The sequence below is a fragment of the Homo sapiens genome, chromosome 2, assembly GCF_000001405.40.
Source record: "Homo sapiens chromosome 2, GRCh38.p14 Primary Assembly".
NCBI lineage: Eukaryota > Metazoa > Chordata > Mammalia > Primates > Hominidae > Homo > Homo sapiens.
In genome coordinates this window covers 45,213,830-45,226,874 of record NC_000002.12, presented here as the reverse complement: position 1 = coordinate 45,226,874, position 13,045 = coordinate 45,213,830, and the positions used below count along the sequence as shown (strand labels likewise).

The 13,045-nt window shown below is 44.4% G+C and overlaps 1 long non-coding RNA gene across 1 annotated transcript in view, besides 2 other annotated features; it reads left to right on the top strand.

Moving 5' to 3' along the window:
- Positions 1–13,045, top strand: part of LINC01121 (long intergenic non-protein coding RNA 1121) — an 80,601-nt gene that overhangs the window by 28,067 nt on the left and 39,489 nt on the right. The window lies entirely within an intron of this gene.
- Positions 6,035–6,961: an enhancer, noted in NCBI's record as "H3K4me1 hESC enhancer chr2:45447053-45447979 (GRCh37/hg19 assembly coordinates)". NCBI's record gives its function as "activates a minimal SCP1, AML or CMV promoter by ChIP-STARR-seq in naive H9 embryonic stem cells {active_cell/tissue: H9 hESC(naive)}" and the evidence as "EXISTENCE:reporter gene assay evidence [ECO:0000049][PMID:30033119]".
- Positions 6,962–7,890: an enhancer, noted in NCBI's record as "H3K4me1 hESC enhancer chr2:45446124-45447052 (GRCh37/hg19 assembly coordinates)". NCBI's record gives its function as "activates a minimal SCP1, AML or CMV promoter by ChIP-STARR-seq in naive H9 embryonic stem cells {active_cell/tissue: H9 hESC(naive)}" and the evidence as "EXISTENCE:reporter gene assay evidence [ECO:0000049][PMID:30033119]".

Genomic DNA, 13,045 nt, shown 5'->3' with positions numbered 1-13,045 from the left:
TATATTAATTTAATAACCGGATTTATTACCGAATTCTCTTGTTTTCAACAGTTTTTCAATAGGTTCTCTTGGGTTTTCAGGATATACAGTCATGTCATCTACAAATCATGATATTTTTGCCTCTGCTTCTCATATCAAATACAAAAGTTATTCAGCATGCCATCAAAATTAAAAAGTTTTATGCTTCAAAGGATACAATCAAGAAAGTAAAAAGACAACACACAGAATGGGAGAAAATTTTTGCAAATCATCTACCTAATAAGGGACTTGTATCTAAAATATACAAAGAACTCTTACAACTCAATAATAAAAACACAAATAACCCAATCAAAAAGTGAGAACAGGGCCCAGTGTGGTGACTCATACCTGTAATCCAAGCACTTTGGAAGCCAAGGCAGGAGGATCACTTGAACTCAAGAATTTGAGACCAGCCTGGGCACCATGGTGAGACCTCATCTCTACTAAAAGTTAAAAAAAATAAAATTAGCCAGGCATGGTGGCATGTGCCTGTGGTTCAAGCTACTTGGGAGGCTAAGGCAGGAGGATCACTTGAGCCCCAGAGGTTGAGGCTGCAGTGTGCCATGTTCACACCACTGCACTCCAGCCTGGGTGACAGAGCAAGACCCTGTCTCAAAAGAAAAAAAAAAAAAGCAAAGGATTTGAATAGACATTTCTCTGATGAGGATATACAAATGACCAATAAGCATATAAAAAGATGTTCAACATCATTAGCCATCAGGGAAATGAGATACTATTTCATACTTGCTAGAATAGCTATAATCAAAAACCCAGCTAATAAAAGTGTCGGCAAAGATGTAGAGAAATGAAGCCCTCATATGCTGCCAGTGGAATTTAAAATGGTACAGCTGGTTTGGAAAACATTCTACCAATTCCTCAAATGGTTAAACATAGAGCTACCACATGACCCAACAATTCCACTCCTTGGCATCAACCCAAGAGAAATGAAAACATACATCCACACAAAACTTCTACATTAATGTCCATAGCAGCATTATTTATAATAGTCAAAAAGTGGAGACAATCCAAATGTCCACCAACCTATTAACTGATAAATGAAATTGCTATATTTGTACGGTGGAATTGAAGTTAGCAATAAAAAGAAGCAAAGTACTGATACATGCTACAATACGGATGGACCTTGAAAACAATGCCAAGTGAATAAGCCAGTCACAAAGGACCACATATTATATAATTCCATTTAAATGAAATGCCCAGATGAGACAAATCTGTAGACAAAAAGTAGATTCATGTTTTCCAGGGGGTGGGGTGGGAGTGGGGAAATGGAGAGATTGATGGGTGATGGCTAAGGGGTATAAGGTTTTTGGGGGGTGGGTAGGAGAATATTCTAAAGTTGATTGTGGTGATTGCTGCACATCTCTGAATATACTAAAGGCACTGAATTTTACAGTTTAAATGGATAAATTTTATAGTATGCGAATTCTATCTTAATAAAGTTGTTTAAAATTATGCATGGGAAAACCGGGGACCAATTTTGGATCTAAAGTGCGTGTTGGGGGTGGATGCAGGGTAGTTGTTCTTGCATTAGCATAATAGGAGACGGGTGGAATAGAGGAGTCCCAGCTCAGGGAGAAGGGAACGATACTACCAGTCAGAAAATTCTCAAGCTGAAAGCAAAGTTAGACATCTTCTAGCCTGGATGCTTTACTTTGCTACTTATATTGAGAAGGAATCTGGGGCTGAGGCTGACTGACTAACAATGTCTGTCTGCCATTATGATAGCCAATATAGATTAAATAGGACCTTTGTGCCAGGCACTGGTTTAAATACTTTATATGCTTCATCCCATTTAATTCTCTTAAATATACAAGGTAGGTAATATCATCAGCTCTAGTTTATAAATGAGGAAAATTCAGCCACAGCTTTGCTCAAGATCCATGGGCTGCTCAGTGATAGAGTCAGGAGTCAGACCCCAGAAGCTGGACACCAGAGTCCTCTCTGTTAGGCAATAGTGACTCTACTGAGGGCATGGAAGCCTACGTTTGAAATCTATCATCTGGAAGTGGTCACCCTTCTTGGGATAAACTAGGCATTTATCCCAGCTGAGGGGAGTCACAGCTCATCCGCAGACATCTGGGTCACAGGCTGCAGGGTGCAGGGGGAACAGAATGCCGCAGAAATGTCTCGGGGGATGCCAGGTGGGGAGAGCAAGTCGTAGACATACAAAAATCCCCTCCAGCCCCCACAATCACAGCCTTTGTCATCTGACAGTTTTGCCTGAGCTTTTTCATGTGAGGAGTTTCTAAGGCCCTTCGGGGCCAGGCTAATGCCTTAGGTGGGGGCTACAAACTGAACATGAGTGAGGCAGTCTGTGTGTAGATGTGCTTGGCTTTTCTGGGTGACCTGCATGCAAAATGTCACGTGCCTCGGTGGGAACAGGCACTTCTCAGTTATTTAACCCTTTTCCTGTTTGCCCTGAGAATACTTGCCGGCAGCGCTTGCAGCTGCAACGTTTACCCCAAGATAACTTTGCCACAGAATATCTCGCTGTTATTATTGTTGTCGACTTTGGCAACAAAAGCCATCATTCTATTTGTAGCATTCTGTTTTTAGTAGTGGTATTTCCATTCACAATGTATAGCAATTCTCGATTGCTGAAAATGTCAAATCCTTGAAAACGTAGCATTCTTATGAGTGATGTTAATATCGTTCTTGGACAATTTTTGGCCAAAGATTCATTTGATGAATCTGAGTTTTCTGAAACAGATGATTCCAGGGTTAGTTGTGTTTAGAAATGACTCCAAGAACAGTTTTTATATTTCATTTTCGCATTGAAAATCAGTCTATTTGCTTCAGCCTCAAAGAGCATGTTTATGTAAAATTAAATGAGGCTTGCAGCGAGCTGCACTTTTTTTTTCTAAACAGAAAAAGTTAAGGGGCAAAGGAAACTCACTGCCCTGACACTGCTCACATAGGGGGTCAGCCAAGACTGGGCGAAACTAGTAACGCACCAGGGCCTGGCATCCCATGGAGTCACCCAGCCAGTCTCCCTGAGGTTCTCCTGGGGACACTCAACCATCAGCCAGCTGCCCCTAGCCTTGGGAGTCTCCTCAGTGGGGGTGTGGGAGGAGCTGCTCGCTTCTCGTCCCCTGTAGTGGAGATCTGGGCCTCTTTCCCCCTCAGCATAGAATGAGGCTTCACAGGCCTATGCTCCCTCCCGCCCCCAAAACCCAACAGGCTGTCCTGCCATGCTGTGGCGGCGGGGGGTTGGGGGGATGGCGAATGGGAGGTGTCTTGAGCACACAAGGCAGAGGCAGTGATATCAGTGGAGGAATGAGGCAGAAAGGTGTTGCTTGGATGTAAAACAGGGAAGAAAACACAAAACGAATACAGGGAGAAATGTGAGAAAAGATAAATGTGGAATTTGGCACCTGGCAGGCACAGGTAGGGTATGGGCCCCACGCCCTGGTTCGTCTCAGCTTGTTCGTAGCCTTCTCAGATCGTCCTCTACCTTCCTCTCTGAGTTTGCTCTCAGCATTACCTGGGTGTATGTGTCCCCTCTGCCGCTCACTACCCATGGGTCCTGAGGGAATCTGTTCCCTGAGCCTTGGCCGTCTTGCCTGTGAAGTGGGTGGCATGACAGGGGAGCTTCCTTCACAGGGTGGCTGTAAAGGTTACACGAGGCAGAGCCTGTAAGTCACTGAGCACAGTAGGGTCTTAACAGCAGCTCAGTAAGTGAGATCTATTTTATTATGATATTTTTAATATTTATGTATTTATTGAGATGGAGTTTGGCTCTTGTTGCCCAGGTTGGAGGGCAATGGCTCAATCTTGGGTCACCGCAACATCCGCCTCCCGGGTTCAAGCTATTCTCCTCTCTCAGCCTCCCAAGTAGCTGGGATTACAGGCATGTGCCACCACACCAGGCTAATTTTGTATTTTTTTAGTAGAGACGGGATTTCACCATGTTGGTCAGGCTGGTCTCCAACTCCCGACCTCAGGTGATCCGCCCACCTTGGCCTCCCAAAGTGTTGGGATTACAACTTTTGAGCCACTGTGCCCGGCCAAAATTTGTTTTTAATGTAGCACAGCATTTACCATTTCAACCATTTTTGAGTATACAATTCAGTGGCATTAAGTACATTCGTACTGTTGTACAACCATCACCACCATCCATTTCTAGACCTTTTTCATCATCCCAAACAGCAACTCTCTTTCAATTACTCCCCCATCCCTCCTTCTCCCCTGCACCTGATAACCTGTAATCTATTCTCTGTCTGTATAAATTGGTCCATTTTAGATATTTCATGTAAGTAGAATCATACAGTGTTGGTCCTTTGTGGCTGGGCATGTTTAACTTAGCCTTATAATATTTTAAAGCTTATAATGTTAAAAGCATATAAAGTTATAATGTTTTCAAGGTTCACCCATGTTGTAGCATGGATCAGAACTTCATTCCTTTTTAAGGCTGAATAATATTCCACTGAAAGTTTTGTTTAACCATTTGTCTGTTGATGGACATCTGGGTTGTTTGCACCTTTGGCTTGTTGTGTCTATTAGAGGCGTTATAGTCACTCATCTATGAAGAAGAAGTGTAGTCTGGGTTGGGGGGTCAGAGCACAGCCTCTGGAGCACACTGCCTGAGGCCTCGTCCTTTATCTTACCACCTGGGATGTTGGTACATGTCTTAACCTCTTTCTGCTACAGTTTCTCATCTGTGAAATGGGGATACGAGGCTTGGGCTCCTGTGAGGAGGAAATGAGCCAACACAGATAAAGTAGCTATAGTGGTTTCTGTCACCTGGTCAACATGCAGGAAGGTTAGCTGTCACTCTTGTGTTGGGAGTTTACATCTTTACTGAGACCTATCTGGGTGGACTGGAGTTTTCTAACTTGTAGGAACTGGTGGTCAAAGAGACAGAATTGAAAAACTGGAAAATGCTAGAGGTGAAAAAGACTTCAAAGATCACCTACTCAAACTTCCTCCTTTTACCAACAGGGAAACTGAGGCCCAGAGAAGAGGGGGCCAGAGTGACAGAGGCAGAACTGGAGGCAGGCACCTGCCCCCAAACTTTAGACCTCAGCTTCAGCTCCAAGCCTGGCTTCACCACCCCCATCCCCTCGCTGGGTTCGCTTCTCCAAAAATCACACCAAGTTGGGGGGTGAGGGTGGCTTCCCCGCTACCGTACCCAGGTTAGTAAAACTCCCAAGTTTTGGCAGGGGGAGGATTCCCAGGAGCAGGGTTCTGCTCCCCACCCACCCTTGGACCTTGACTCAGACCCAACGCCAGCTGTTTGTTGCGCTATGCACACCACCTATCCTTTCTTTTACCAACTTCTGGGCTGGGGGCTGCAGGGGGTGGGGGATATCAAAAAGCTTTACTTGGGAGGGTCTTTTCTGGTGGGGTCTAGGAGTAGGCGGGGAGGAACCCAGACCTGGCCAGCCATGGTGGCGAGACTTTGGTTGTTTTAGGATTAGGTACCTGCATTCAGTAAGCACGTCTGTTGTTCAGCTGTTCGTATTCTCTTTGTTCATTTCGTTGATTTCCTGTGAGGTTATTCTTGGAGAATTCCAGCCTGTCTGAGCTCCACAAAGTGGGCTGGCGGGCACAGCCCACACCTGGGCAAGAGAACAAGGCAGACAAGGTGACTTGGTGGCAGTGAGAACAACAGGGCAGTGCCAATGGAGACAGAAACCTGGGGAAGATATGGGACCATCTGTCAAACTGTCCCCTTCTCCTGGAAGAACTTCTCTTTGGAGCACTTTGATGAAAGAATTGTTTGTTTGTTTGTTTGTTTGTTCAAAGCCAAAATTGTATGCACCCATCCACCCCCACATCCTCTAAGGAATTAATCTGACAAAAGTAATTTTTACTAACCTAGGTGTGGAAGGGAGAGAATTTACAGTCCATTAGGGGAGGTGCCATGAGGAGGGGAGGGTGCTTCGGGGAGGATGGGGAAAGGGCAGGGGGTGCCGCATGAGTAAAGGAGTAGGACGACAATGGCAAATTTGGGAAAGCTAATGTTTATAGCTTTAGCAGAAATCTTTGTTTTGTCCTTCTTTGTCATTTTCCTCTCCCTCTCTTTTATCTTTCCTGGTGTGTTAGTCATCACCACAGCAAAGACTCTTTTCTTCAGAGACCTCAATCTGCTGGTAGCAAGGACTGGACAGTTGTGACCAAGCCCCTTCCTCACCTCCCAGCTCTCACTCAGGACAAATTCATTCTGGATTGGAACTGGGAGGTGAGAGTTGGAGTCCAATTTAGAAGATGTGGGGAAATGTCTGGGGTGGGTCTGAGCAGGCTCTTCTCCAGGACGGGAGACGTTCACATCTGCACCTGCAGTGAAAACAAACACCCAGCAATGGGGCAGAGGGAGGAAGGGAAGGCTCCTGCCCCTGATCCAGCAGCTGAAAGTGAGAAGCTGATAATAGCGACAATGCCTGAAATGCACTCCACGGTAATCGAGCTGCATCTGGCTCGAGCCCTCTGGGAAAGGAGGCCACATCCGGCCTGCCAGGCTGCACCATGCAGACATGGGGTGTGGCTGGTCAGTGTCAACAGCATGTTCCCAACCACCCCCTGCAGCCGGGGGTGGGAGGGAGGTCCAATCTCCAGGCCACAAGGCCAATTTTCTCCTGCCAGAGTGAAGGAGAACATCCAAGGCCACCTTTTCCCAGCCCCAGTTTCCCTGCGAGGCTCAACTTTCCTGGAGGTGAAGTCGTCAGGAGCCACCACACTAACGGTACTAACAGCCCGCCCTTACAGTGCACTTCCCAAGTGCCAGCACTGTTGAGAGTTTTTGTCTAACTCATCTCATTGAATCCTCATAACAGCTCTATGAGATGGGGTTTATCTCCATTTTTCAGATGGGGAGACCGAGGCATGGAAAGGGGGCAGCACTGGCATAAGAATATAGCAGTTTGGCTCCAGAGCGGTGCCCTTCACTGTTGGGAGGCACTGCCCTGTGTCTCCATAGCACAAGCCAGGGTGGAGATTTGGCCTGCATCATGCGCCAAAGAACCCGAATGTCCTAGAGATGTAATCTGTGGATATTTAGTTGGCACAGGTGATAGCATGGCATCAGAGTCAACCATCAACTCACTTGGAACAGGGGGGGAATCTCGTCGAACCTGACGCCCTGCTAAGGTTAGGGCAGCTGGGCCTGCAGAGGTTGCCTGGGGTCATGCAGCTAGAAAATGGCAAAGCAAGGATCAGATCCGAGGTCTCCTGACAGTATCCTGTCAACTGTTCCATATATTTTTTTTGTCCCTGCCGGCCCCCACAAGCCAAAGGCCCCACAGTGGAAGGCAGGGGTGGTGAGTGGCAGGGGTGGTGAGTGGCAGGTGTCTGTTGGAGATTTCCCGGGAGAGAGGGGCTGTGTTGACTGATCGCCAGCCCCTGCCCTGGCTCTGGCTCCTTGGTTTCCCCTCCATCTGGTCTTTACCTCCATCTGGTTCACTGTAAAGAGGACTGAGGAGAACTGGAGAGACGTTTGGGTCCCCATCTCCCTGGGGTGAGGGCTGAGCAGTGTCCCTGAGGACCCTCTGGCTGGCCCGGGAACCCGTTTAGGCAGGTCTCACCTTGGGGCTCTCTGTGAGCTCAGTGTGGATTAGAGTGGGACCAAGCACCTGGCCAGGTCCCAAAGAGGAGTGTTTGGCCTGGCATGGAGCTACCTGTGGATAAAGGAGCCCTGCTGGGCTGTCATCGCAGGTAGTGGCAAAGGCTCTGGATGAAGTGTCCAAACTGGTTTAACACCTTCTTGGTATGCCTCTTATTTTGTGGGTTTATTTCATTCACCTGTTAAGAACCTGCCCTGCCTTAATCTCTGTTACCTGAAGAATGAATGTCTGGATAGGGGTTTCCTTTGTTTGTTTTGTTTGTTTAAGGGCTGTGCTTGCCTCCTGTGCTGGGCTCAGCTGGTCTGCACTCTAGGCCCCCAGCCCACAGGCTGCGGGCTGGCAGACTGGAGTTCTAGTGATGTTTGGACCCAGATGCAAAATCATTTCAGCTGTTAGAATATGAAGCCCACTCTTTAGTCCATGTGTGATTAGGGGAGCTTGGGATCAATTCCTTGACCCAAAATATTCCTGACTCCACATGCCTGATGACCCTAAATGACACCAGTAGATGTAAGGTCCCTTCTTCAATCAACTTTTTTTAGGCCATTAGTAACTTATTTGTTTATTGTGGTACAAAAATATATAACATGAAATCTACCTTCTTAAATTTTTAAGTGCATTATTGTTAACCAAATGCACAGTGTTATATAGTAATACAGATCTCTAGAACTTTTTCATCCTGCATGACTTAAACTTTGTACCCACTGAACAGAGACTCCCCGCTTTTCCCGTCTCCAACCCCTGACAGCTACTTTCTGTTTCCAAGAGTTTGAGTACTTCAGATTCCTCATACAAGTGGAATCATGAAGTATTTGCCATTCTGCAACTTGCTGATTTCACTTAGCATAATGTCCTCAAGCTTCATTCATGTTGTAGCATATGACAGGATTTCCTTCCTTTTTTAAGACAGAATACTATTCCACTGCTTGTATGACCACATTTTCTTTATCCATTCATCTGTTAATGGACATTTCGGTTGTCCCTGGGCTGCAGACCAGTACTCTCTGTGGCCTGTTAGGAACCAGGTTGCACAGTAGGAGGTGAGCAGCAGGTGAGCGAGCATTACTGCTTGAGCTCTGCCTCCTGTCAGACCAGCAGCAGCATTAGGTTCTCATGGGAGCAGGAATCTCTGGCTACTGTGAATAATGCTGCAATGAACATGGGAGTACAAATATCTCTTTGAGATTATGATTTCAATTCTTTTGGATAAATACCCAGAACAAGGATTGCTGCTGTATTAGTTCATTGTCACACTACTCTAAAGAACTACCTGAGACTGGGTAGTTAATAATGAAAAGAGGTTTAGGCCAGGCATGGTGGCTCATGCCTATAATCCCAGCACTTTGGGAGGCCAAGGTGGGCGGATCACGAGGTCAGGAGATTGAGACCAGCCTGACCAACATGATGAAACTCCGTCTCTACTAAAAATACAAAAAATTTGCTGGGCATTGTGGCGTGCACCTGTAATCCCAGCTACTCAGGAGGCTGAGGCAGGAGAATCGCTTGAACCCTGGAGGTGGAGGTTACAGTGAGCCGAGATCACGCCACTGCATTCCAGCCTGGGCAACAGAGCGAGACTCTGTCTCAAAAAAAAAAAAAGAAAGAAAGAAAAGAAAAGAGGTTTAATGGACTCGCAGTTCTGCAGGCTGTACGGGAGGCATGGCTGGGGAAGCCTCAGCAAACTTACAATCATGGCAGAAGGCGAAGAAGGAGCAAGCACATCTTCACATGGCAACAGGAGGAAGAGAGTGAAGGGAGAGAAGCACTACACACCTTTAAACAACCAGGTCTCATGAGAAGTCTACCACAAGACAGCACGAGGGGAATGCTGCTAAAGCATTAGATACCAACCCCACGATCCGTTCACCTCCCACCAGACCCCTCCTCCAACACGGAAGATCATAGTTCAGCATGGGATTTGGGTGAAGACACAGAGCCAAACTATATCAGCTGCATCATGTGATAATTCTGTTGTTAATTTTTTGAGGAACCTTCATACAATTTTCCACAGCCACTGCACCATTTTACATCCCCACTAACAGAGCACAAGGGTTCTAATTTCTCCATATTCTCACCAGCACTTGTTATTTATTTATTTATTTTTTTGACAATGGCCATCCTAACAGGTACAATACTCATTGTGGTTTTGACTTGCATTTCCCCAGTGATTAGTGATGTTGGCATCTTTTCATATACTTATTGGCCATTTGTATATCTTCTTTGGAGAAAACTCTATTGAAGTCCTTTGCCTGCTTTTTAATCAAGTTATTTTTACTTTTGTTGTGTGGTTATTGAGTTGTAGGAGTTTTTAAAAAATATATTTTGCTTATTAAGCCCTTATCAGTTATATGGTTTGAAAATATTTTCTCTCATTCCATAGGTTGCCTTTTCACTCTATTGATTGTTACCTTTGCTGTGCAGAAACTTTTTCATTTGATGTTGGTCCACTTGTCTATTTTTGCTTTTGTTGTCTGTTTTTGGTGTCATAGCCAAGAAATCATTGCCAAATCTAATGCCGTGAAGGTTTTCCCTTATGTTTTCTTCTAGGAGTTTTATAGTTTCACATAACTTATGTTTAGATCTTTAATCTATTTTGAGTTAATTTTTGTGTATGGTGTAAGATAAAGGTCCAATTTCATTCTTTTGCATGTGGTTTTCCAGTTTTCCCAGCACCATTTATTGAGAAGACTATCCTTGCTCCAATGTGTAGTCTTGGTACTTTAGGTAAAGGTCATTTGACTGTCTATGCATAGGTATATTTTGAGGCTCTCTCTTCTGTTCCATTGGTCTATACATGTCTGACCTTATGCCATTACCATACTGTTTTAATTACTGTAGCTTGGAATATGTTTTGAAGTCAAGAAGTGTGAGGCTTCCAGGTTTGTTCTTCTTCCTCAAGATTGTTTTAGCTATTCAGGGTCCTTTTTAGTTCCATAAATTTTAGGATTGTTTTTGCTATATCTGCAAAAAATGGCATTTGGATTTTGAGAAGGATTATATTAAATCTGTAGATCATTTTGGATTATATGCACATGTTAACAATATTAAGTCTTTTAACTCAAGGGTTCCCAATCCCTGGGCTGTGGACCAGTACTGGTTCTTGGTCTGTTAGGAACCTGGCCACACAGATCTAGAGATCTGTAGGAGGTGGGTGGGTCTAGAGAGTGAGTGAGATCTAGAGATCTGTAGGAGGTGAGCGGCAGGCGAGCAAATATTACTGCCTGAGCTCCGCCTCTTGTCAGATCAGCGGTGGCATTAGATTCTTATAGCAGCGTGAACCCTATTGTGAACTGTACATGGGAGAGATCTAGGTTGCATGCTCCTTACAAGAATCTAATGCCTGATGATCTGAGGTGGAACCATTTCATCCTGAGACCATCTCTACACCCCCACCTCAGTCCTTGGAAAAACTGTCCTCCACAAAACCGGTCCCTTGTGCCAAAAAGGTTGGGGACCACTCTTTTAATCTATGAAAGATGTCTTTGCATTTATTTGTGTCACTTTAATTTCTTTCAGGAATATTTTATACTTTTCACTGTACAAATCTTTAAGCTTATCCCTAAGTATTTTATTCTTTTTGAGGCAATTGTAAATGAGATTTTTTTCTTATTTTACTGTTGGATTGTTTGTTGTTAGTGCATTAAAATGCAACTAATTTTTGTATACTCATTTTATATCCTGCAACTTTGCTGAATTTGTTTATTAATCCTAACAGGTTTTTTTGGTGCAGAATCTTTAGGGTTTTCCACATGTAAGACCATGACACCTGTGAACAAAGATAATTTTACTTCTTTACAATTTGGATGCTTTTTATTTCTTTTTCTTGCCTAATGCTCTGGCTAGGATTTCCAGTACTATGTTGAATTGAAGTGGCAGCAGTAGGCATCCCTGCCTTGTTCCTGATCTTACAAAGAGGTTCAGTGGAAAAGGGACTGAATTGACAATCAGTCAATCAACAAATACAAAGTGATAACTATGATCCAAAGGATCTTGGTTTTTAGTCTTTCTAACTTGCTTATATACTCACTTCATTACTCTAGGCTGTTTTAACCCCAATAAAAGAGGGAGCTGCATTAGATTATAAGAGTCTGTCCAAATTCAGTGCTCCTTCTAGATTTTATGGTTCCAAAAATGTTATTTAGTACCTACTAGGCATTTAACCAAGGGAAGGTATAAGAAAAGAAATATTAAATTCTCAGTAAATCAACAAAATATAACCAAGCACTTATATACAAGGTGCTAGGCAAGAAGTATTCTTGTTTCTTGCCCAGGAGGAATTTACAATATGTGAGAAAGGTAAGACATGTATATATGGGAAATACAATATCAGTAAGAGAGATGACAGTGCCATTCAAGAAGGCAGGGCATGCTTCATTGCCAAGTGAAGGACACAGGAACAATCTTTAGATAAAAGCAGTTCGCAAAGTAGGGGATATAGTGAGACTTATTCTCAACAAATGGGTAGAAAACACATTGCCAAGATGAATGACATCATGATGTATCAGGTCAGGAATCCAGAGAAGAGAACAGGCTGGAATCGTTGGAGATCGATATTGGAAAGGCTGTGTGTATGGTGAACATTTGCTTCCATTGGGCTCCGCTTTCTCCCTTATTTTGGAAACTATCCTGATTTCTTTCTAGGAAGCACTCCTTCCTCCTCATCAGCCCATGAACTGCAGGTGGAAGCACAACACTCCTTCCCTATCCCCGAGCCATAAGATTGGTCCAGGGATGGGTCTGTGACCCAATCATAGCCAAGGAACACCTGGTATGTCTGCTGGGGCTATTAGGAAAGAGGCAAGTTATCTTTCTCACTGGGCTTGAATCTGCAGCCCATTTTGCCTGCAAACCTCTTGCCACCAGGTGTGTAGAGTCTGTGAGTGGAGCCAACATGGAGAAAGCAAAACCAAGAGATGAAACCAGATCCTAGTGACTTTAGGCAAGACCCTGAATCAAGCCATTCCCAGATTGATCCAACGTTCTGTTGCAAAGTGGGCCTTGAACTAGATTTGGGTGGGTGGAAATGAATAGAGAGGGCAATCCATGCAGATTGTGCCACAAGAACTAGGGCATGTTGATGAGGGAAGGATGTGGTATCCACAGAGCTGTGCAGAAACTGCTTGAGAGAGAAGGTCTGAGTGGACAGTGTGCAAAATACCTTGCAAGATAACACCTATTTTTATTTCTTTGAGTGAGTTTATCTATTTGGACAAATCCAGTGGGACTGCTAAGGAGTGGCATGTAATGGAAAGACAAAGGAAGGGAGACAGAAAAGGCTCTAAAAATAATAGAATAACAGCAAATACTTGCTGAAAACTACATGCTAGGCACTGTAGTAAGCACTTTTTCCATTGAATTCTTTCAGCAGACCATGAGGTATTATCACATCTCCATTTTAAAATGGGGAAACTGAGGCACAAAGAAGATGTCCAAGGTGGCCTATTTAA